The sequence below is a fragment of the Homo sapiens genome, chromosome 5 (assembly GCF_000001405.40).
Source record: "Homo sapiens chromosome 5, GRCh38.p14 Primary Assembly".
Classification (NCBI taxonomy): Eukaryota; Metazoa; Chordata; class Mammalia; order Primates; family Hominidae; genus Homo; species Homo sapiens.
Window position 1 is genome coordinate 169,467,337 of NC_000005.10, and position 24,258 is coordinate 169,491,594.

The window sequence follows — 24,258 nt, forward strand, 5'->3', positions numbered from 1 at the left end:
TAAATTATTTCAATATAATGACTGAGAAGGGAGAGAGCCAAAGTCTGATGAGGTCTGAATGTGCATGAAAGCACCCACTATTTTTCATACTTTTTCTTATATACTGTGTTAAAAGTGTGGAGGGAGAGAAAGATGAAGGGAAGGGTAGAGAAAGAGAAAGGGATGAATAAGAGAGAGAGGAGGAAAAGTGAAGGAGGAGAAGGAAGTGAAGGCAGCTCCAGGCACCTTGCCCAACTCCTTGGAGATAAAGTTAACGTTTGTTCGCTTGTCTGAATAAACAAAGCTAGTCTGATACTCATCTGATAGTCTCAGTTAAGTCAGTACTGAAATAGTTGTAAACTGAAAATACTGAAAGATTTGCACACTGGTTGGTTAGTATCCATTGCTCCCACCCATCACACTGGGGGCTTGGTCCATCCCCCATGACCAAGACGTCCACACCACCCTGCAACCAAAAGAGTATGCCTAATACTGCAGGGAGCTCCCGGGGCCTCCTCCAGTACCAAGTGGGCATTGGCCAATCTTCCTGCCCTATAGGTTGTAAAATATTTTAAATATCACCCCTGTGCAGAAATCCTTATTCTGCAGCCTGGGAATGAGGTTGCCATTCTCCCTAGTCTTCCTCTCTTTGTTCACTCCTAACTGTCACTGGTTGAGCATCTGATGGTCTGAGAACAACAGTCACCAGGTCAGTCTGATGTCAGTCGTTAACTTGCCTTTGGTCCCATGCTCTCACTGCCCTATACTCAAAACGATCATAGCTAGAGGGGATTGTGTGGGCATGGAGGTGATGGACAGGCTGGGAGAGAGCGGGGGAATGGGGCAGGGTCACTGTAAAGTTTTGAGGGTGAGAAGAAAAACCAGAAGCCTTCTTGTTCACATAAAAAAAGAATTCATATGACTCCCTGTTTTGGGTGCTGTACAGTTTATATGATGTCACACAGTTTGTAAAACTCACATGCATGATCTCACTTGATCTTCATGCCAAATCTTTTGGTAGGCAGAGCAGGGGTGATGATTCTATTTTCACAGAGAAGGAAATGTGAGTCCAGAGAAGAGATGTGGCTTGCTGAGTCCTGCAGCTAAGATTTGAACTGTGGTGTGTAGATGCCAAGCCCAGCTTTGTTGGGAACGAGCACTTGTTATCACGTTCTGCATTTCTCACTTTCCTGCCTGCTCTTTCTGGCAGTTGTGAATTCCATTCCCAGACTAAAGAGGGTCCAGCCTGTTTAAATTTCACACCAGCAGCTCACCATTCTCTCTGTGCACTTTCCTAGGGACCACAGAGGGGCTGCCAGATGGCCATCACCTGAGGCCTTATGAATCTCCAAATGGCCTGACCTCCAGGGCCCAACTCCATTTAGGGCCAGGCTTGACTATGAGGCTACTGAGGAGAAAGTGGGGACTACCTGAAGTTCCCAAGAAGAGTGATAGGCTTGGGTCTGACATTAATCAAGATCCCTGGATTTGTATAGCATGTTACTTATTTTGATTTTGAGGATAAAATATCATATTCAATACTAATATTTCATCCTCATCCTTTCGTAGGTCTTTCATAATAACCGTGTGAGGCCATCAGAGTACACATCATTGCTAACATTTTATAATTGGAAATGGGATCTAAACAATATTCAGTGACTGGCAAGGTCACACATGATGGGTGATTGCAGCCAGGCTGGGGCTCCAATATTCTGGCTCCCTGTCCAATGCTTGTCACTGCCCTGTGCCACCTACTACTGCACACATATCCCATGTCCTTCCAGGGAGGAAAGAGGCTGTTTGGGCAGAAAATGATGATCCTTAGCTGCTAACTCTGTCAGCACAAAGAGAGTGGGACTGCAGATGACCTCCAACACTGAATAAACCAAAAAGGATTCATTTAACGTTTGAGAACAAATTCTCAGGTAAGAAATCTACCTTGTCCATCATATTTTATTGTTTTAATAAAAAGTAAGAAAAAGCTGGGTGCGGTGGCTCATGCCTGTAATCCTAGCACTTTGGGAGGCCAAGGCGGGTGGATCACTTGAGCTCAGAAGTTTGAGACCAAACTGGCCATCATGCCAAAACCCCGTCTCTATAAAAAAATACCAAAATTATCTGGGTGTGGTGGTGCAGACCTGTAGTCCCAGCTACTCAGGAGCCCAGAAGGTTGAGGCTGCAGCGAGCTGAGATGGTGCCACTGCACTCCAGCCTGGGTGACAAAGTGAGACCCTGTTTCAATAAAAAAGCAAGAAAGGAAGCTGAAAAGAGATGAATATTTACTATCTCCACTACATTATTTCATTTAGCCATCGTAACAGTATGCAAAAGTATTATCATCCATTTCACACAAATGAGGAAACAGAGTCAGAGAGGTTATGTATGATATTTTGCTCAAAGTCTTGTAGCTAGGAATGAGCCTTCCCAAAAGCTCATGAATGTTAAGAGGTCCCCCCTTTTTTGGGTCAGCTTTGCCATTTGGAAGGAAGAATATGAATTCTGGCTCTATCACTTAGATTTCTTGTGATCCAGACTAGTTATTATTTTGGTCCCAGAGAATAACTTCTCTCATTTCCAAAATGCAGATAAGATACCTCCTTTCCAAGAAGGTTATGAGGATTAGCATCAACTGCTAACATACTTTGCGTGTTTTCTAAACACTTTTTCTAAGTTCTTTCCACCTATTATCGTATTAACTGCTCCAAGCATCTCTATGGGAATGGGTACTACTTTTTTAGCCCCGGGTCCCAGGTGAGAAATCAGAAACAGAGCATTTAAGAGATGCTTCCAAGTTAGGAGCTGGAAAGGCCAGCTCCTTGAAGGCCTTGAAGTCAAGGCATCTGACTGCACAGTCCACACTCCCAACCACTGCACTCCATGACCTCTCTGATTTAAAACGACTGAGACATAACAAGAGCTCAATAAAGAGGGTCTGTTATATCATCGTGATGGCTGGTAGCTGAAGTGAATGGAAGGGACCTTTCACCAGGACCAACCCACAAAACAGCTGAACGTACCCACGTCAGGAATGCAAATGAGGGAGGAGCACTGAGTCCTCCACAGACAATGGAGGTGACATGGTTTGGATGGGTGTCCCCTCCAAATCCCATGTTGAAATGTAGTCTCCAGTGTTGGAAGTGGGGCCTGGTGGGAGGTGTTTAGGTCTTGGGGACAGATCCCTCATGAATAGCTCGTTGCCCTCCTTGTGAGAGTGAGTTCTTGCTCTGAGTTCATGTAAAACCTGGTTGTTTAAAAGAGTGTGGCACTTCCTCCCTCTCTCTCTCTCTCTTGCTCCTACTTGCCATGTGACACGCTTCTCCCCCAGTGCCTCCCCCTTCACCTTCTGCCATGAGTAAAAGCTTCCTGAGGCTCTCACCAGAAGATGCTGGACTCATGCTTCTTGCACAGTCTGCAGAACCATGAGCCAAAATAAAATCTCTTTTCTTTATAAATTACCCAGCCTCAAGTATTTCTTTATAGCAATGCAAAACAGCCTATCCCAGGAGGTAAGGTAGGCATTGGCCTCATAGCCCCTAGAGACCCTACTCCATCCCTGACAGGTTTGAGCCTCCCATGCCATTTTTCCTTCCCAGGCTTGGATGAGAGAATAATCTTAAGGAAGTCAGCATATGTTCTAGAAACATTCAGAAGACAAAAGAGTCTGTTATGAAAGAACAAAGTATTTGTAATAATAAATTGAATGTTACATGGACACACCCAGACATACACACACAGACACACACACACACAGTTTTTCTTCTCTCTCTCTCTCTCCCCACTCCCCTCTCTCATACTTTGCAAACAAGCTCCTCAGCAGCTGGTAAGCTGTTCCCTGTCCTCCCACTCAGCCGAATGCCAGTTGTCCCTCCATCCCAACCCAGGCTCTCATAATGGTTTCAGCTTCCAAGAGACAGCTTGACTCAAAATGCCATCCAGTCTGGCTGCCAGGGGAAGCATGAGGACTTATCCAGCAGAGAGGGACAGAAAACACGACAGCCAGAGCCCTCATGCCAGAAGAGCTCTAGGAACGTGAGCATCTGTGAGGTGTTTCTGCCCACAGGTGAGGCTGTGACCTCTGAAAATTACCGGCCTATTAGGGAATGTTTCATGAGGCAAGAGGGATCTTCCTCATTAGCCACTGGCCTCAGCCTACCTTTCCAGGAGTTAAATGTAGGAGACAAATCATGCATTTTATGTCACTTGTATGCATCTTGTTTCTCTCACTCAGTGGTGCATCATAAATACCTCATTTTGTCCTATTTACTCATATTTTAGCAAGAAACCCCAGAGACCCAAGAGGGACAGAATCTGAAACTCTGAGAGTTCTCTGATTTACCTTTCTTTGATTCTATCTCCTTTTACCTCTCAATTCCCTGTAATGGACTAATGACAATCCTCTGTGGAAATGTCTGTGTTTTGTTTCCTTTATCTGGGAACAGACCCTGACCCGGCCCATAGCCATAGGGGTGGATGGGTGCCCTAGGCTAAGCCAGTCAGAGCTTATCACCTGTCCACAGAAGTTAGGTCAGTGGGAGAGCACAAGACCCAAGCCAGCCAATCAGAATCCTTTCCCTAGGTTTTTCAAAGCTGGGATTGAAAAGTGTACCTTCTTTTTTGGTTGTACCATAAGTTGAGCACTGCTTGCAGCCACCATTCTAGTCCACTGAAGGCAGCTGGTCAGAGAAAATGGAAAGATAACAAGCTGAGAGGATGACTTCTGTGGTTTCCTGATTCTCCATTTCGTGGGTACATGAGCTAATAAATCTTCCTTTTTGAATATGGAAAATTGTTTGAATTGGGCTTCTGTTGTTTGACTAGTGGCCAGCATTTGAAATGTGGTGGTGTGGCAGGGAAGGAGCTATTAAGCCATCTAGCCTCCTAAACCTTGTAAAATATGGTAGCCAAAGAGGAAGAGACTTTTAGGATATCTAAAGCAAAGCAATGTATTGCCAAGTTACCAAAAAAAAAAATTCAAAACAGCTGAAAAATTAGTGAAATATATTGGCCCAGGTACTTGAAAAGTCCCAAGGTGACTCTCACATACAGACAGCAAAGCTTAATCCAAAAGCTGAAAAACGGTCACCAACAGCTTAGAACCTTGCATCTCTCCTTTCACCTTCTATGGTATTAGCTTCATCCCTGCGCCCCATTCAGACCACTGAGAAAATCACTGTAAGGCAGGTAGACTCCCACCCCAGTTTTGTCACTTGCAGCTGTATTTAGTTATGAAAGTAATCTAAAAAGTGCAAGTATGATGAAAATGAGAATTGTGCTTCCATTTCTATAAAATAATCTTAAAATCATCTATCTGTGTGTGTATATGTGTTAATATGTGCATGTATGTGTGTGACTGTATATGCATGAAAATGCAGGAAAAGATACATACCAGGTCATTAACATTGTTTACCAGGGGTGGGGAAGTAAAGACCAGGAAAGGAGGGCGAAAGACTCAGGAGAGGAGAAGTTGTTGATAATAACGGTATTTACGGTATGTATAGAGTTCTATGGATTTTCAGCATTTAGAGGCTGCCCACATTCCATAACTCCTGGCCCTTCCATCTTCAAAGCCAGCACTCGCTAGTCAACTCACATCACTCTGATATCGACTCTTCTGCCTCCCTCTTCCACATTTAAAGATCCAGGTGATTACATTTTTGCCTGGCAATGTAACATATTCACAGGTTCTGGAGATTAGGACAGTGATGTCATCAGGATGACATTAGGATGTCCCTGTCCCAGAACCTATGAAGATGTTAAATTTCATGGTGAGGGGGGTTAAAGTAGCAGATGAAATTAAGGTTGCCATTATTCCACCTTTTATACATTATGATCCCATTTGTGCAAATGTGGATGCATAGATACATAAAGTGACAAAGAGGAAATGCATGTATATATATGTAAAGTAACAAAGTGATAAAGTGGAAGATAAGTCATCAAAATGATAGTGGTTCTCACAGGGAGTAGAAGTCAATTCACTTCATGTTTTTCTCAAAATTTTATGCAGTGTTTTATCTGTTTGAATATTTGTAAATCTGGCCAAGCGCAGTGGATCACATCTGCAATCCCAGCACTTTGGGAGGCTGAGGTGGGAGAATTGCTTGCTATTTTGCCCAGGAGTTTGAGACCAGCCTAGGCAACGTATCAAGACCTCAGCTCTACAAAAAAAAAAATAAAAACCTTAGCTGGATGTGGTGGTGCATGCCTGTAATCCCAGCTACTCAGGAGGCTAAGGTGGGAGGATCCCTTGAGCCCAGGAGATTGAAGCTGCAGTGAGCCGTGATTGAGCCACTACACTCCAGCCTGGGTAACCGAGCAGCACTCTGCCTCAAAAATAAATAAATAAATACATAAATAAATAAAAAAGCAAATTTATGTACAGGAAAAAGCAACAAAGTTTGTTTCATTGGTGAAAATCATCAATTTTAGTGGGGTGTGAGACCTGAGCTCCCTCAAGTATCTGAAGCACTGGATCTGAAAGGTCTGTGAGAGACGGCAGTAGCAGCCTCAGAGGAACTTTGTACTGACTAGAACCCCCTCCCGCCAAACACTCTTCTTCTGTACACAATAGGAGATAGTGAGCCAAAGCAATAGAAAAACTCCCATCTGATATTAATCCAATTAGAGAGATTCAAAGCCAAGTAGAACATGCAGACTGATGGATGTGCAGAAACTACTTTGCAGCAGCTCTGCATGGAGCTGGGGAGGGCAGGTAATGAAGGCAACTCTGAAGGTCTCAGAATACGCACCCCGGAGGAAGTCACTTTCCCTCCTTCCCCAACAGCCTAGTCGAAAATGTCTACTCATTTTTGGGATCCTTCAGCTGTCCCTTTCCACATCCTTGGTCACTCTCATGCACGTCCTTTTCAACTTCTCCCTTTCCTGGTCCCAAATGGCTGGCATACCAGCAGCCCTCCAAGAGCACCCTCCCCACATTAATTCTTGCTCTCTAGAAGACAACCTGCAACATCAGTGTTCCCTGGATCATGAGATATTTATTAAGTGTTCAGTGAAACATATGATTCTGTGGTCAAAACTTTGACCACAAGTTTTCTGTGGTCAAAACCTGGGAAGAGAGAGCTAATACAATTAAATTCATTGTTTCTCTGCAGGACACCCCAGAGGCCTTGATATGCTCATGTGCCCTGCGTTGCACTGCAATACGCCAGGAGGTGGCTGCAGTAAGCAGTAAATCCACCTAACTGTGGGATCATCATGTTATTAAAGAATAACAGGTGAAATTATTACTCCACATGCTGGAAACAGTGTTAAAGACCTCTCTGTGATGGTAGGGCGAGTTAAGAATTTAATTTTGCAGCCCAAAAGAGCCTTAGAAACCATCTTGTCCAACTCCTTTATTTTAAAGCTTAAGAAAGGCACAGAGAGTAAAGTGACTTGCCTGAAGTTCCACAGCTAGTTACTAGCAAAGAAAAGAATCTCTTTCCAGTGCTCTTATTTGCTCACTATTTTATACCATCCCAAGTTACATCTACTAAACACAGAAAGGAGGTTCCTCTCATATGGCACATCTGTGGGAAATCACAAAGTACCCCTGGAAGCTTTAAGCCTTATCTAAGTTGGAATATTGGCTCTGTTACCTACTGAAGGTATTTTAGACATCATGGTCAAATGGTGGGTTGTTTTGATTTGCGATGGTGGTTGGACAGAAGGGCATGTAGAATTGTAATTCACCTTAAAGATTTCCTCATCCAACATTTCACATGGGGCAGGAATGTTACCTATAGAAATCCAGAAAAGTGATTATAATGTTTTGTAAAACTGCTTCATTAAGATTTGATATACAGTCAACTATCCATTATTAATAAACTACTAATTTACAATTTAATACATTTTGACACATTTTTACACCCATGGAACTATTACCATTATCAAAACAGTCAGTATATCCACCATCCCCAAATATTTCTTTTTTAAAAACAATTTTTTAAAATTTTTTATTTCCATAGGTTTGGTGAGGAACAGGTGGTATTTGGTTACACGAGTAAGTTCTTTAGTGGTGATTTGTGAGATTTTGGTGCATCCATCACCCGAGCAGTATACACTGAACCCAAATTGTAGTCTTTTATCCCCCATCTCCTTCCCCCGCTTTCTTCCCACATCCACAGAGTCCATTGTGTCATTCTTATGCCCTGGCATCCTCATTGTTTAGCTTCCACTTATGAGTGAGAATAACGTTTGGTTTTCCATTCCTGAGTTACTTCACTTAGAATAATAGTCTCCAATCCCATCCAGGTTGGGGTTTCCAATCCCATCCAGGTTACTGCAAATGCCATTAATTCATACGTTTTTATGGCTGAGTGGTATTCCATCATATATATATATATGCGCCAGTTTTTTTATCCACTCACTGATTGATGGGCATTTGGGCTGGTTCCACATTTTTGAAATTGCAAATTGTGTTGCTATAAACATGCATGTGCAAGTATCTTTTTCATATGATGACTTCTTTTCCTCTGGGTAGATACATAGGAGTGGGATTGCTGGGATCAAATGGTAGTTCTACTTTTAGTTCTTTAAGGAATTTCCACACTGTTTTCCATAGTGGTTGCACTAGTTTACATTCCCACAAACAGTGTAGAAGTGTTCCTTTTTCATCTCATCTGCACCAACATCTACTATTTTTTTATGTTTTGATTACGGCCATTCTTGCGGGAGTAAGGTGGTATTGCATTGTGATTTTGATTTGCATTTCCCTGATCATTAGTGATGTTGAGCATTTTTTCATGTGTTTCTTGGCCATTTATATATCCTCTTTTGAGCATTGTCTATTCATGTCCTTAGCCCACTTTTTGATGTGATTGTTTTGTTTTTTCTTGCTAATTTGCTTGAGTTCATTGTAGATTCTGAATATTAGTCCTTTGTTGGATGTATAGATTGTGAAGATTTTTTCCCACTCTGTGGGTTGTCTGTTTACTCCACTGACTGTTCCTTTTGCTGTGCAAAAGCTCTTTAGTTTAATTAGGTCCCAGATATTTATCTTTGTTTTTATTGCATTTGCTTTTGGGTTCTTGATCATGAAATCCTTACCTAAGCCAATGCCTAGAAGGGTTTTCCTTATGTTAGTTTTTAGAATTTGTATAGTTTCAGGTCATAGATTTAAGTCCTTCATTGACCTTGAGTTGATTTTTGTATAAGGTGAGAGATAAGGATCCAGTTTAATTCCCCTACATGTGGCTTGCCAATTATCCCAGTATGATTTGTTGAATAGGGTGTCCTTTTCCCACTTTCTGTTTTTGTTTGTTTTGCCAAAAATCATTTGACAAATTGGTTTATTTCTGGGTTCTCTATTCTTTTCCATTGGTCTATGTGCCTATTGTTATACCAGTGCCATGCTGCATTGGTGACTATAGCCTTGTAGTTTAGTTTGAAATCAGGTAATGTGATACCCCCAGATTTGTTTTGTTTGTTTGGTTGGTTGGGTTTTTTTTTTTGTTTTTTATTTTTTATTTTTGCTTAGTCTTGCTTTGGCTATGCAGGCTCTTTTTGGTTTCATATGGATTTTAGGATTGGTTTTTCTAGTTCTGTGAAGAATGATGGTGGTATTTTGATGGGAACTGCACTGAATTTGTAGATTGCTTTTGGCAGTATGGTCATTTTCACAATATTGATTTTACCCATCCATGAGCATGGGATGTGTTTCCATTTGTTTGTGTTGTCTATGATTTGTTTCAGCAGTGTTTTGTAGTTTTCCTTGTAGAGGTCTTTCACCTCCTTGGTTAGGTACAAAGTATTTTGGGGTTTTTTGCAGCTATTGCAAAAGGAGTTAAGTTCTTGATTTGATTCTCAGCTTGGTCACTGTTGGTGTATAGAAGAGCTGCTGATTTATGCAAATTAATTTTGTATCCTGAAACTTTGCTGAATTCTTTTATCAGTTCTAGGAGCTTTCTGGAGAAATTTTAGGGTTTTATAGGTATACAATCATATCATCAGCAAATAGCAACAGTTTCACTTCCTCTTCACTGATTTCAATGTCCTTTATTTCCTTCTCTTGTCTGATTGCTCTGGCTAGGACTTCCGGTACTATGTTGAATAGAAGTGGTGAGAGTGGGCAGCATCCTTGTCTTCTTCCAGTTTTCAGAGGAAATGCTTTCAACTTTTCCCTGTTTAGTGTTATGTTGGCTACAGGTTTGTCATAGATGGCTTTTATTGCATTGTGGTAGGTCCCTTGTATGCCAGTTTTGCCAAGGGTTTTCATCATAAAGGGATGCTGAATTGTGTCAAATGCTTTTTCTGCATCTATTGAGATGATCATGCGATTTTAGTTTTTAATTCTGCTTATGTCGTGTATCACATTTATTGACTTGCATATGTTAAACCATCCCTGTGTCCCTGGTATGAAATCCACTTGATCATGGTGGATTATCTTTTTGATATGCTGTTGGATTCAGTTAGCTACTATTTTGTTAAGGATTTTTGCATCTATATTCATCAAGGATATTGGTCTGTAGTTTTATTTTTTGCCTATGTCCTTTCCTGGTTTTGGTATTAGGGTGATACTGGCTTCATAGAATGATTTAGGGAGGATTCCTTCTTTCTCTAACTTGTGGAATAGTGTCAATAGGATTGGTATCAATTCTTCTTTGAATGTCTGGTAGAATTCAGTTGTAAATCCATCTGGTCCTGGACTTCTTTTTGTTGGTAATTTTTTCAATTACCATTTCAATCTTGCTGCTTGTTATTGGTCTGTTCAGGGTTTCTAATTCTTCCTGATTTAAGCTAAGAGGGTTGTATGTTTCCAGGAATTTATCCATCTCCTCTAGGTTTTCTAGTTTATGCATGTAAAGGAGTTCATAAGAGGCTTGAATGATCTTTTGTATTTCTGCGGTGTCGGTTGTAATATCTCCTGTTTCATTTCTAATTGAGCTTATTTGGATCTTCTCTCTTCTTGGTAAATCTTGCTAATAGTCTTTCAGTTTTATTTATTTTTTCAAAGAAGCAGCTTTTTGTTTCACTTATCTTTTGTATTTGTTTGTTTCAATTTCATTTATTTCTGCTCTGATCTTGGCTATTTCCTTTCTTCTGCTGGTTTGGGGTTTGGTTTGTTCTTGTTTCTCTAGTTCCTTGAGGTGTGACCTTAGATTGTCTATTTGTGCTCTTTTACTTCTTGATGTAGGCCTTTAAGACTACGAACTTTCCTTTTAGCACCACTTTTGCTGTATCCCAGAGGTTTTGATAGATTGTGTCACTATTACCATTCAGTTTAAAGAATTTTTAAAGTTCCATCTTGGTTTCATTGTATACTTAATTATCATTCAGGAGCAGGTATTTAATTTCCATGTATCTGCAAGGTTTTGAGGTCCCTTTTGGAGTGGATTTCCAGTTTTATTCAACTATGATCTGAGGGAGTACTTGATATAATTTCAATTTTCTTAAATTTATTGAGACTTGTTTTGTGGCCTATCATATGGTCTATCTTGGAAAAAGTTCCATGCACTGATGAATAGAATTTACATTCTGAAGTTGTTGGGTAGAATGTTCTGTAAATATCTGTTAAGTCCATTTATTTCAGGGTATAGTTTAAATCCATTGTTTCTTTGTTGATTTTCTTTCTTGATGACCTGTCTATTGCTGTCAGTGGAGTACTGAATTCCTTCATTATTATTGTGTTGCTGTCTATCTCATTTCTTAGGTCTAGTAATTGTTTTATAAATTTGGGATCTCCAGTGTTAGGTGCATATATACTTAGGATTGTGATATTTTCCTGTTGGACAAAGATTTTATCATTATATAATGTCCTTCTTTGGCTTTTTTAACTGCTGTTGCTTTAGTTTGCTTTGTCTGATATAAGAATTGCTTATATCAGCTGCTTGCTTTTGGTGTCCATTTGCATGGAATATCTTTTTCTACCCCTTTACCTTAAGTTTATGTGAGTCCTTATGTGTTAGGTGAGTATTCTGAATGCAGCAGATCCTTGGTTGGTGAATTCTTATCCATTGTGCAATTCTGTATCATCTGAGTGGAGCATTTAGGCCATTTAGATTCAACATTAGTATTGAGATGTGACATACTATTCCATTCATCGTGCTATTTGTTGCCTGTATACCTTGGGGTTTTTTAATTGTATTTTTGTTTTATAGGTCCTGTGAGATTTATGCTTTGAAGAGGTTCTATTTTGATGTATTTCCAGCAATTATTTCAAGATTTAGAGCTTCTTTTAGTAGTTCTTGTAGTGCTGGCTTGGTAGTGGCAAATTCTGTCAGCATTCGTTTGCCTGAAAAAGACCGTATCTTTCCTTCATTTATGAAGCTTAGTTTTGCTGGATACAAAATTCTTAGCTGATAATTGTTTTGTTTAAGGGGGCTGAAGATAGGGCCCCAGTTCCTTCTAGCTTGTAAAGTTTCTCCTGAGGAATATGCTGTTAATCTGATAGGTTTTCTGTTAGAGGTTACTTGGTGCTTTTGCCTCACAGCTCTTAAGATTCTTTCCTTTGTCTTGTTTTTAGATAACCTGATGACAATTTGCCTAGGTGGTGATCTTTTTACAATGAATTTCCCAGTTTTCTTTGAGCTTCTTGTATTATTTTCCAAACTTTTAGATTTCTATTCTTTCTCAGGAACACCAATTATTCTTAGGTTTGGTCATTTAACATAATCCTAAACTTCTTGGAGGCTTTGTTCATCTTTTAAAATTCTTTTTTCTTTGCCTTTTTTAGATTGGGTTAACTCAAAAAACTTGTCTTCGAGCTTTGAAGTTCTTTCCTCCGCTTGTTGCATTCTATTGCTGAGACTTTCCAGAACATTTTGCATTTCTCTAAGTGTGTCCTTTATTTCCTGAAGTTATGATTGTTTTTTATTTGTGCTATCTATTTCACTGAAGATTTCTCTCCTCATTTCTTGTATCATTTTTTAAAATTTGCTTAAATTGGACTTCACTTTTCTCTGGTGCCTATTTGATTAGCTTAATAATTGACCTTATGAATTCTTTTTCAGGTAAATCAGGGATTTCTTCTTGGTTTGGATGCATTGCTAGTAAGCTAGTGTGATTTTTGGAGGGTGTTAAAGAATTTTGTTTTGCCATATTACCAGAATTGTTTTTCTGGTTCCTTCTCACTTGGGTAAGCTATATCAGAGGGACGATCTGGGGCTCAAGGCTGCTGTTCAGATTCTTTTGTCCCACTGGGTATTCCCTTGATGTAGTACTATCCCCCTTTTCCTAGGGATGTGGCTTCCTGAGAGTCGAGCTGTAGTGATTGTTATTTCTCTTCTGGATCTAGCCACCTAGCAGGACTACCAGGTTCTAGGCCAGTACTACGGGTTGTCTGCACAGAGTCCTGAGATGTGAACTGTCTGCAGGTGTCTCAGCCATGGCTACCAGCACCTGCTCTAGCGGAGATGGCACAGGGTGAAGTGGACTCTGTCAGGGTCCTTAGTTTTGGTTGTTTAATGCACTATTTTTATGCTGGTTGGCCTCCTGCCAGGAGGTGGGGATTTCAAGAGAGCATTAGCTGTGTTAGTATAGGGAGGTTCAGGCAGTAGGTGGGTCCTGGAACTCCCAAGAGAATATACCCTTTGTCTTCAGCTACCAGGGTGGATAAGGAAGGACCATCAGGTGGGGACAGGGTTAGGCGTGTCTGAGCTCAGACTCTTCTTAGGTGGGGCTTGGTGTGGCTGCTGTGGGAGATGGGGGAGAGTTCCCAGGTCAATAGAGTTATATCCTCAGGAGGATTATGGCTGCCTCTGTTGTGTCATGCAGGTTGTCAGGGAAGTGGAGGAAAGCCAGCAGTTACAGGTCTCCTCCAGCTCCCATACAATCCAAAAGGCTGGTCTCACTCCCACTGTGCCCTCCAACAACAGCACTGAGTTTGTTTCCAGGCAGTGGGTGAGCAGGGCTGAGAACTTGCCCCAGTATACAGACCTCCCAGCTGTGAAAGCAAGCAGGGCTTTTGCGCCTCCCTGCTTGTCAAGTCTGCACACTGGATTCACACTCTCCCCCAAATTCTGGCCAGGAGACTTGGCATTCAGTTGGAATTGTTACAAAGTTCAGCTGGAGGTTTCCTTCTCCCTGTACCTTGCATGTACCTCTGGCAGCCCTCCCCAAAGACCCCTGTGAGACAAGTCTGAAATGGCTGTCCTGGGGACCCAGAGAGCCCACAGGGCTTTTCCCACTGCTTCCTCTACCCCTGTATTTAGCTTGGCTCTCTAAATTGACTCAGCCCCAGTTAAGGTCAAATCCTTCTCCTGTGATCTAGATCGTCATGTTTCCCAGTGAGGGTGTGTGTTTGGGGGCAGATAATCCCCCTTTCCCACTTTCACAGCTTGGGCACTCACAGTATTTGGGTCATCTCCCGGGTCCAGCAGGTGCAATCTGCTTCCTTCAGAGGGTCTGTGGGTTCTCTTGGCTTTCTTGGTATGTTCCTGCAGTAGTTCTGGAGCAAAAGTTCACAATGAGAGTCTCCACACACTGCTCTGTCTGTTCGAGTGGGAGCTGCAATCTAGTCCTGCCTCTTATCTGCCATTTTTCTCCCATCTCGCAAATATTTCTTTATGCTGCATTGTAATCCTTCCCTGTTACCCTCCTGACCCCTCACGCTCAGGTAACCACTCATCTGTTTCCTATCACTGTAGATTAGTTTGCATTTTCAGGAGTTTTGTATAAATGGAAACATGCAAGGTACTTATTTTCTAGTCTTGCTTTTTTTACTCAGCACAGCTATTTTGAAACCTATCAGTACTGTTTCCTGTATCAATAGTTTACTCCCATTTATTGATAATTAGTATTCCACTGTATGTACATATGACAATTTGTTTATCCATCCACCTGTTGATGAACTTTGGGGCTGTTTCCAGTTTGGGGATATTACAAATGAAGCTGCTATGAACATTCATGTTCAGGTCCTTATATGAACATATGCTTTTATGTCTTGGGGAAAAACTTAGGAATAAAATAGCTTAATATTTAAGTTATATATTTGACTTTTTAAGAACATGCCAAATGTTTTCCTGAAGTGATTGTAGCATTTTGCATTTTGCAACAAGAGTGTGTGACAGTTCCAGTTCCTCTACATTCTTGGCAACACTTAACAAGGTTTAGTCTTCTTAATTTTAGTCATTCTAATAGGGGTATATCATTATGGGTTTAATTTGCATTTCTCTCATGATTAATAACATTGAGCATTTTATTCATGTGCTTATTTGCCATTTGGATATCTTCTGTGATGAAATGTCCTTTCAAATCTTTACCCATTTATTAAATGGGTTGATTTTTTTTAGTTATGAGAGTTCTTGAGTTATGAGAGTTCTATGATCTAAATGCAGGTAACTTATCAAATATATGCTTTGTAAATATTTTCTCCCAGCTTTTGGCCTGTCTTTTCATTCTGTTAACAGCAGAGGTTTTTTAATGTTCATGAAGTCGAACTTATCAAGCTTTAGTTTTCTTTTCTTATGATGTCTGTATCTTACTCTGGGGTCAGGGTAAGAATGGCATCAAAGAATTAGCAGGGAAGTATTCCCTCTCCTTTATTTTTCTTGAAGAGTTTGTGTAGAACTGTAATTATTTTTCTTCCTGAAATGTTGGGTAGAATTCATCAATAAAGTCATCTGGGTCTGGATGGCTTCATTATGGGAAAATTTTTAATTACAAATTCAATTTTCTAAATATATTTCAGATATTAAGGTTGTCCATTGCTTCTTGATTGAAACTACTGTGGTAGTTTGAGTCTTTTAATAAAAGTTGTCCAAGTTTTCTAGTTCATTCAATGTACAGCATAATGTTGTTCATCATATCCCTTTTATAATCTTTTGAATATCTGTAGAATCTATAGTAATATTACCTCAGTGGTTCCTGATATTTGGTAATTTGTGATTTTTTTTTCCTGAGCAATTTGGCTACAATTTATCAATTTTATTCATCTCAAAAAATTTGTTTTCATTTATTTTCTCCATTGTTTATTCCATTTATTATTTATTTCATTGATTTCTGCTTGAATCCTTATTATTTCCTTTCTATCCTTACTTTGGTTTTAACTTGCTCTTATTTTTCAAGTTTCTAATGGAAGAAGCTGAATGCACTGATTTGAGACTTTTTTCTTTTCTAATGTAGTAATTTGTTGCTATAAATTTTCTCCTAAATACTTCTTTTAATGCATCCCACAAGTGCTATGTTGTGTTTTCATTTTCCTTCAGTTCAAAATAGGTTTTAATTTTTCCTTTTATTTATTCTTTGTCTCTCACAGGTTATTTAGAATAGTGCTATTTAGTTTCAAAATATTTGGAGATTTTTCACTTACCTTTTGATTATTGGTAACTAATTTAATTTCACTGTGGTCAAAGAACATACTACATATGACTTGAATGCTTTTAAATTTATTGACTTGTTTTATAGCCTAGAATATGGCCTAACTTCATAAATGTTCTGTGAACACTTGGAAAGAATATACATTGTGCTGTTGTTGAGTGGAGTGTTCTATAAAAGTCAATTAGGACAAGTTGGTTTATAGTGTTATTCAAGTCTACTATACACTTGCTTGCTTTCTGTCTACTTGTTCTAAAATTACTGAGATTGAGTGATTTTTCTCAGTGTAATTGGGAGTTTTTAAAATTTTTCTTAGTATTTTTAATCAGTTTTGCTTCACGCATTTTTTTTTTTTTTTTTGAGACAGAGTCACACTCCCAGGCTGGAGTGCAGTGGCATGATCTTGGCTCACTGCAACCTCTGCCCCCAAGGTTCAAGTGATTCTCCTGCCTCAGCCTCCCAAGTAGCTGGGACTACAGGCACGCACCACCACAGCTGGCTAATTTTTGTAATTTTAGTAGAGATGGGATTTCACCATGTTGGTCAGGCTGGCCTTTACTCCTGACCTCAAGTGATATGCCTGTCTTGGCCTCCCAAAGTGCTGGGACTACAGGTGTGAGCCACTGTACCTAGCCAGCTTCATCTATTTTGAAGTTCTATTATTACGGGTATATACCCGGAGAATTGTTATAGCCTCTAAATTATTGGTCCCTTTATCATTATAAAATGACCATTTTATCTCTGGTAAAATTATCTTCTCTGAATTCTACCTTGTCTAACAATAATATAGTCACTCTTTTGACTGGTGTTAGCATGGTATATCTTTCCTAGTCCTTTACTTTTAATGCATTTTTGTCTTTATAGTTAAAGTATGTTTCTTATAGACAGTATCTAGTTGTGTTTTACTGAATCTAAAAATCTCTGCCTTTTAAATGGTGTGTTTAGATCATTTACATTTAATGGTGTTAGTGATACAGTCAGGCTTAAGTCTATCACCTTGCTCCTTGCTACTTGTTTTTTATTATATTTGTTTAACTTGTTCCTTGTTCCCCTTTTCCTTTTCTTTATGCTTCTTTTAGATTAAATATTTTTATAATTTGTATTTGTTTCATTTTTATTTTTGGTTGGCTTATTAGCTACATTTCTTTTCTTAATTATCTGTTGCTTTAGGGTTATAATATACAGGTTTAATTTATTACAGTCTACCTTAAACTGACATTATAATTCCTTATGCATAATATAAGACTTTACAATAGTATACTTCTTTCTGTTCTTACACATTTTTTTCTATTTTGGTCATATATTTTACCTATAGCTATGTAATAAATCCAAGAATACATGGCTATTATCATTGTTTAAAGAGTACTTTTTTTTTAGTGACACTTACTTAGTAAGAAAAATGGTATATAATTATCCATTAGAATCTATATCTGATTCTTCTCATGTCTTTGTGCAAAAATTTCCATCTGGTATCATTTTTATCCTAAGTTATTTTCTCTAAAATTTCCTGTAGTGCAGGTATTCTGTTGATGAATTCTTTCAGTTCTTATATGTTTGAAAATGTCTTCATTATATCTTTAGTTTTGAAAGATATTTTTATTGGGTATATAATTATGGCTTTAAAAGTTTCTGTTTTTTCTTTCAGTGCTTAGAGAGATTATCCTACTGTCTTCATTATTACATTTTTAAGTAAGAAGCCTGTTGTCATCCTTATCCATGTCTCTCTGTATATAATGTGCTTCTCTCTAGCTGCTTTTAGCATTTTTTATCAGTTTTGAGCAATTTAATTATGTTGTGCTTAGATATCATTTTTTGCATATCTTTATATTTGAGTTCATTAAAGTTCATGATGTATGGGTTTATAGTTTTCATCAAAATTCAAAAAGTTTTAGCCACTAATTAACTCTTAAAAAGATATTTCCTGTTCTCCTTCAGAGACTTGAAGTACATGTATGCTGGCTTCTTATACTTTTTCCACAGCTCACTGATATTCCCTTTATTTTTAAAAATTCTTTTTCGCCTAGTGTTTCATTTTGGATAATTTCTATTGCTATGTCTTTGAGTTCACTAGTATTTTCTTCTACAATGTCTAATGTGACATTAATCCTATACATTGTATTTTCATCTCAGATAATGTAGTTTTTATCTCTAAACATCTGAGTTGGCTTTTAAAAATATCTTCTATGACTAACCAGCTAATGTGTTCAATCTTACCTCTAGATTTGTGAACATACAGGATACAGTTATAACAATGTTTTAATGTCCTTGTCTACTATTGTTATCATCTGTGTCAGTTCTGAAGCAATTTCAATTGGTTAGCTGGTAATTTTGGTTGAATACAAAACATTGAGAATTTAACCTTATGGGCTACTGGATATTTCTGTATTCCTATAAATACTCTTGAGCTTTCTTCCGTGGAATTCTTAGGTTAATTGAAAAGAGTTTGATCCTTTTAATCTTGGTTTTAAGATTTATAATGTGAAGGCTCAGAAGGCGGGGCAAGATGGTGGAATAGAAGGCTCCACTGACTGTCCTTCCTACAAGGACACCAGTTTAACAACTATCTATACACACAAAAAGTACCTTCATAAGAACCAAATATCAGGTGAGTACTCACAGTACCACACTACCTGGTTTTAATTTCATATCTCTGAAAGAGGCACTGAAGAGGTATAAAAAAGAGTCTTAAATTGCCAATGCCACCCCTCCCCACCCCCAGCAACATGATGCAGAAAGCTTCTCTGGTCCTCGGGGGAGGGAAAACACAACAATTGTGAGGTATTGAAATCAGTGCTGTCCTGTTAGAGCAGAAAGGAAAACTAGACCAAACTCAGCTGAGCTGATGCCCACCCTTAAGGCAATCTAGGCCTTAAGGACTGCAACCCTTAGGCAAGGCCTAGTGCTGAACTGGGCCCAGAGACAGTGGACTGAGGGGTGCATGTGACATACTGAGGCACCAGCTGGGGTGGCTATGGGAGTGCTGGCATCACCTCACTCATAACCCCAGGCTTCACAGCTTGTAGCTCCAAAAGAGAGCCCTCTCTTTTGCTTGAGGAGAGAATAGGGAAGAGTGGGAAGAACTTTGTCTTACATCTTGGATACTGGCTCAGTCACAGCAGGATAGGACACTAGTTGAGTTGCGAGGCCCTCTTTCCAGGCCCAAGCTCCTAGATGACATTTCTAGACACATTCTGGGCCAAAAGGGAACCTGTTGCCTTGAAGGAAAGGACCCAGCCCTGGCAGCATTCATCACCTGCCAACTGAAGAGCCTTTGGGACCTGAATAACCAGCAGCAATGCCCAGATACTATATCTAGGGCCTTGGATAAGACTCTTGAGACTTGCTGGCTTCAAGTACCAGCAAAGCCACAGAGGTCAGAGCGATAAGCGGGCTCTAGGGGCCCCCAATTCCAGGACTTGGCTCTTGGATGGAATTTCTGGACTTTCCCTGGGCCAGAAGGCAGCTCATTGCTCTGAAGGGTAAGTCTCAGGCCAGGCAGCCTTCACCACAGCTGATTGAAGAGCCACTGGGCCTTACAGGAACATTGGTCACAGTCTGGCAGTACTCCACATTGGCCTGGGGTGGTGATGGCCATGGGATGAGGCTCCTCAGGCTTTGGAAAGGGGAGGGAAAGGACTATATCTTGTGGTTTGAGTGCCAGCTTCGCCACAATGTAACAGAACACCAGATAGACTTCTAAGCGTTTTGACTCTAGTCCCTGGCTCACAGACAGCACCCCTGGACATGCCCAGGGCCTGGGGGATCTCACTATTCTGAAGGGAAGGACACAGGCCTGCCTGGCTTTGCCACCTGCTGACTGTAGAGCCCCAAGGCCTTGAGTGAACATAGGCTATAGCCAGGGCGTGGTTATAGCAGGGCTCGGGTGAGACCTAGTGCTGTGGCTAGCTTCAGATCTGATCCAGCACAGTTCTAGTGGTTGTGGCCACAGGGGTGCTTCTGTCATACCACACCCAGCTCCAGGTGGCTCAGAACAGAACAGAGCCATCATTTACTGGGGAGAAAGTAAGGGAAGAATACAAGAGTCTCTGCCTGATAATCCAGAGAATCCTTCTGGATCTTGTCCAAGATCATCAAGGCAGTAACTCTTCAAGTCTGCCAGAATCACAGCATTACTGGGCTTGGGGTTCCCCCAAAACAGATACAGTTTAGATCACAACACCCAAGTCCTTTTGAATATACGGAAAGTGTTCCCAAGGAGGACAGGTGTACAAATAAGCCCAGATTGAGAAACCTACAATAAATATCTAACTCTTCAATGCCCAGACACTGAAGAACATCTACAAGCATCAACACTATCCAAGAAAACATGACCTCGCCAAATGAACTAAACAAGGCACCAGAGATGAATCTTGGAGAAACAGAGATATGTGCCCTTTCAGACAGGTAATTCAAAATAGCTATGTTGAGGAAACTCAAAGAAATTCAAGATAACACAGAAGGAGTTCAGAATTCTATTGGATAAATGTAACAAAACGATTGAAATTATTTAAAAGAATCAAGCAGAAATTCTGGAGCCGAAAAATGCAATCAACATACCAAAGAATGCATCAGTCTTTTAATAGCAGAATTAAGCAGAAAAAAGAATTAGTGGTCTTGAAGACAGCCTATTTGAAAATACACAGTCAGAGAAGACAAAAGAAAAAAACAATAAAAAACAATGAAGCATGCCTAAAGCATCTAGAAAATAGCCTCAAAAGGGCAAACCTAAGAGGTATTGGCCTTAAAGAGGAAGTAGAGAAAGAGACAGGGGCATAAAGTTTATTCAAAGCAATAATAACAGAGAACTTCCCCAACTTAGAGAAAGATATCAATATTCAAGTACAAAAAGGTAGTAGAACACCAAGCAGATTTAACCCAAAGAAGACTACCTCATGGCATTTAATAATCAAATTTCCAAACGTCAAAACTAGGCTAGGCATGTGGCTCATACTTGTAATGCTAGCACTTTGGGAAGCTGAAGCAGGAGGATTGCTTGAGCTCAGGAATTCCAAGCCAGCCAGGGCAACATAGTGAGACTCTGTCTCTATTAAAAAAAAAAGAAAAAGAAAAAGAAAAAAATGTCAAGGATAAAGAAGGGATCCTAAAAGCAGCAAGAGAAAATAAACAAATAACATACAATGGAGCTCCAATACATTTGGCAGCAGACTTTTCAATGGAAACCTTAGAGCCCAGGAGAGAGTGGCATGACATATTTAAAGTGCTGAAAGAAAAAAACTTCTACCCTATAAGAGTAGATCCGGCAAACATATACTTCAAACATGAAGGAGAAATAAAGACTTTCTCAGACAAACAAAAGCTGAGGGATTTTATCATCAAACCCATCCTACAAGAAATGCTAAGGGGAATACTCAATCAGAAAGAAAAGAACATTAGTGAGAAATAAGAACTCATCTGAAGGTACAAAACTAACTGATAATAGTAAGTACACAGAAAAACACCAAATATTATAACACTAAGTACACAGAAAAACACCAAATATTATAACACTGTAACTGTGGTCTGTAAATTTATCTTATCTTAAGTAGAAAGACTACATGATAAACAACAACTACAACAAGTTTTCAAGACATAGACAGTACGATAAGATATAAATCGAAATAACAAAAAGTTTAAAGTGGGGTATTAAATGAAGGCATAGAGTATTTGTTTTCTTTTTGCTGGTTTCTTTGTTTAAACAGTGTTAAGTTGTCATCTGCTTAAAATAATGAGTTATAAGATAGTATTTGCAAGCCTCATGGTAACCTCAAACCAAAAAACATACAACAGACACGCAAAAAATAAAAAGCAATAAATTAAATCACATCATCAGAGAAAATCACCTTTACTAAAAGGAAGAGAGGTAGTAAATAAAGAAGGAAGAGAAGACCACAAAATAACCAGAAAACCAATATCAAAATGGCAGAAGTAGGTCCCTATTTATCAATAATAACGTTGAATGTAAATGGACTAAACACTCCAGTAAAAAGATATGGAATGGCTGAATGGATGATGAAAAAAGACTCAATTGTCTATTACCTACAAGAAATACACTTCATCTATAAAAATAAATATAGACTTAAAGAAAAGAAAAAAGATATTTCATGCCAATAGAAACGAAGAGAGAAAATCCAAATAAATAAAATCAGAGATGAAAATGGAGTCATTACAAACTGATATCACAGAAATTTGAACGATCATTAGTGGCTGCTATGAGCAACTATATGCTAATAAATTGAAAAATCTTGAAGAAATGGGCAAATTCCTAGAAACATACAACCTACCAAGATTTAACCATGAAGAAATCCAAATCCTGAACAGACCAATTACAAGTAACAATATTGAAGCTGTAGTAAAGTCTCTCAGTAAAGAAAAGCCTGGGACCTAGTGGCTTCACTGCTGCATTATACCAAACATTTAAAGAAGAACTATTCCAATCTTACTCAAACTATTCCAAAAAAAATAAAGGAGGGAATACTTCCAAACTCATTCTACAAGGCCAGTGTTACCCTGATACCAAAACCAGAAAAGACACAACCAAAAATGAAAAAAAGAAAACTACAGGCCAATATCTCTGACGAATATTGATACAAAAAGCCTCAACAAAATACTAGCAACCCAAATTCAGCAATATATTAAAAAGATCATTCATCATGGCCAAGTGAGATTTATCCCTGGAATGCAAGGAGGGTTCAACATATGGAAATCAATATGACACATCACATCAACAGAATGAAGGACAAAAACCATATGATCATTTCAATTGATGCTGAAAAAGCATTTGATAAAATTCAATATCCCCTTATTAAAAAACCCTAAAAAAAACTGGGTATAGAAGAAGCCTACTTCAAAATAATAAAAGCCATATACAACAGACCCACAGCTAGTATCATACTGAATGAGGAAAATCTGAAAGCCCTTTCTCTAAGATCTGGAACACAACAAGGACGCTCACTTTCACCACTGTTGTTCAACATAGTACTGGAAGAACTAGCTACAGCAATCAGATGAGAAAAAAATAAAGGGCATTTAAATTGGAAAGGAAGAAGTCAAATTATCCTAGTTTGCGATGATATAATATTGTAATTGGAAAAACCTAGATTCCACCAGCAAAAACTATTAGAACTAATAAACACATTTAGTAAAGTTGCAGGATACAAAATCAGCATACAATAATCAGTAGCATTTATATATGCCAACAGTGAACAACCTGAAAACGAAATCAGTAAGGTAATCCCATTTGTAATAACCACAAAAACAATTAAATACCTAGGAATCAACTTAACCAAAGAAGTGAAAGACCTCTATAATGAAAACTACAAAACATTGGTGAAAGAAATTGAAAAGGATGCCAAAAAATAGAAAGAAAATCCATGTTTATGGATTGGAATGATCAGCATTGTTAAAATATCCATACTACCCAAAGCAATCTACGGATTCAATGCAATCCCTATCAAAATACCAATGACAATCACAGAAATAGAAAAAACAATCCTAAAATGTATGTGGAACCACAAAAGACCCAGAATAGCCAACCCTATCCTAAGCAAAGTGAATAAAACAAGAATCACATTACCTGACTTCAATTTATACTACAGAGCAATAGTAACTAAAATGGCATGGTACTGGCATAAAAACAGACACATAGATGAATGGAATAGAACAGAGAACCCAAAAATGAATCTATACATGTACAGTGAACTCATTTTAGACAAAGGTTTAAAGAACATACACTGGGGAAAGGACAGTCTTTTCAGTAAATTGTGCTTGGAAAACTGGGTATCCATATGCAGAAGAATGAAACTAGACCCCTCTCTCTTGCCATATACAAAAATAAAATCAAAATGGATTAAAGTCTTAAAATCTAAGACCACCGGCTGGGTGCAGTCACTCATACCTGTAATCCCACTTTGGGAGGCCAAGGTGGGTGGATCACCTGAGGTCAGAAGTTCAAGACCAGGCTGGCCAACATGGCAAAACCCCATCTCTACTAAAAGTACAAAAAAAAAAAAATAGCTGGGCATGGTGGCA

General features: G+C 39.1%; 2 long non-coding RNA genes across 3 annotated transcripts in view; one reads left to right on the forward strand and one right to left on the reverse strand.

The window, feature by feature from the left end:
- The window catches only part of LOC105377714 (uncharacterized), a 126,055-nt gene that overhangs the window by 9,730 nt on the left and 92,067 nt on the right, over nucleotides 1-24,258 (reverse strand). The window lies entirely within an intron of this gene.
- LOC105377715 (uncharacterized) overlaps nucleotides 1-24,258 on the forward strand; it is a 101,339-nt gene that overhangs the window by 6,953 nt on the left and 70,128 nt on the right. Inside the window, exons 2-3 of one of the 2 annotated variants that reach the window (XR_941204.3) lie at nucleotides 1,764-1,904; nucleotides 7,089-7,211. This is a non-coding gene — a long non-coding RNA (uncharacterized LOC105377715). The remainder of the gene's footprint in view (nucleotides 1-1,763; nucleotides 1,905-7,088; nucleotides 7,212-24,258) is intronic. The other variant, XR_941205.3, reaches the window with a different exon arrangement.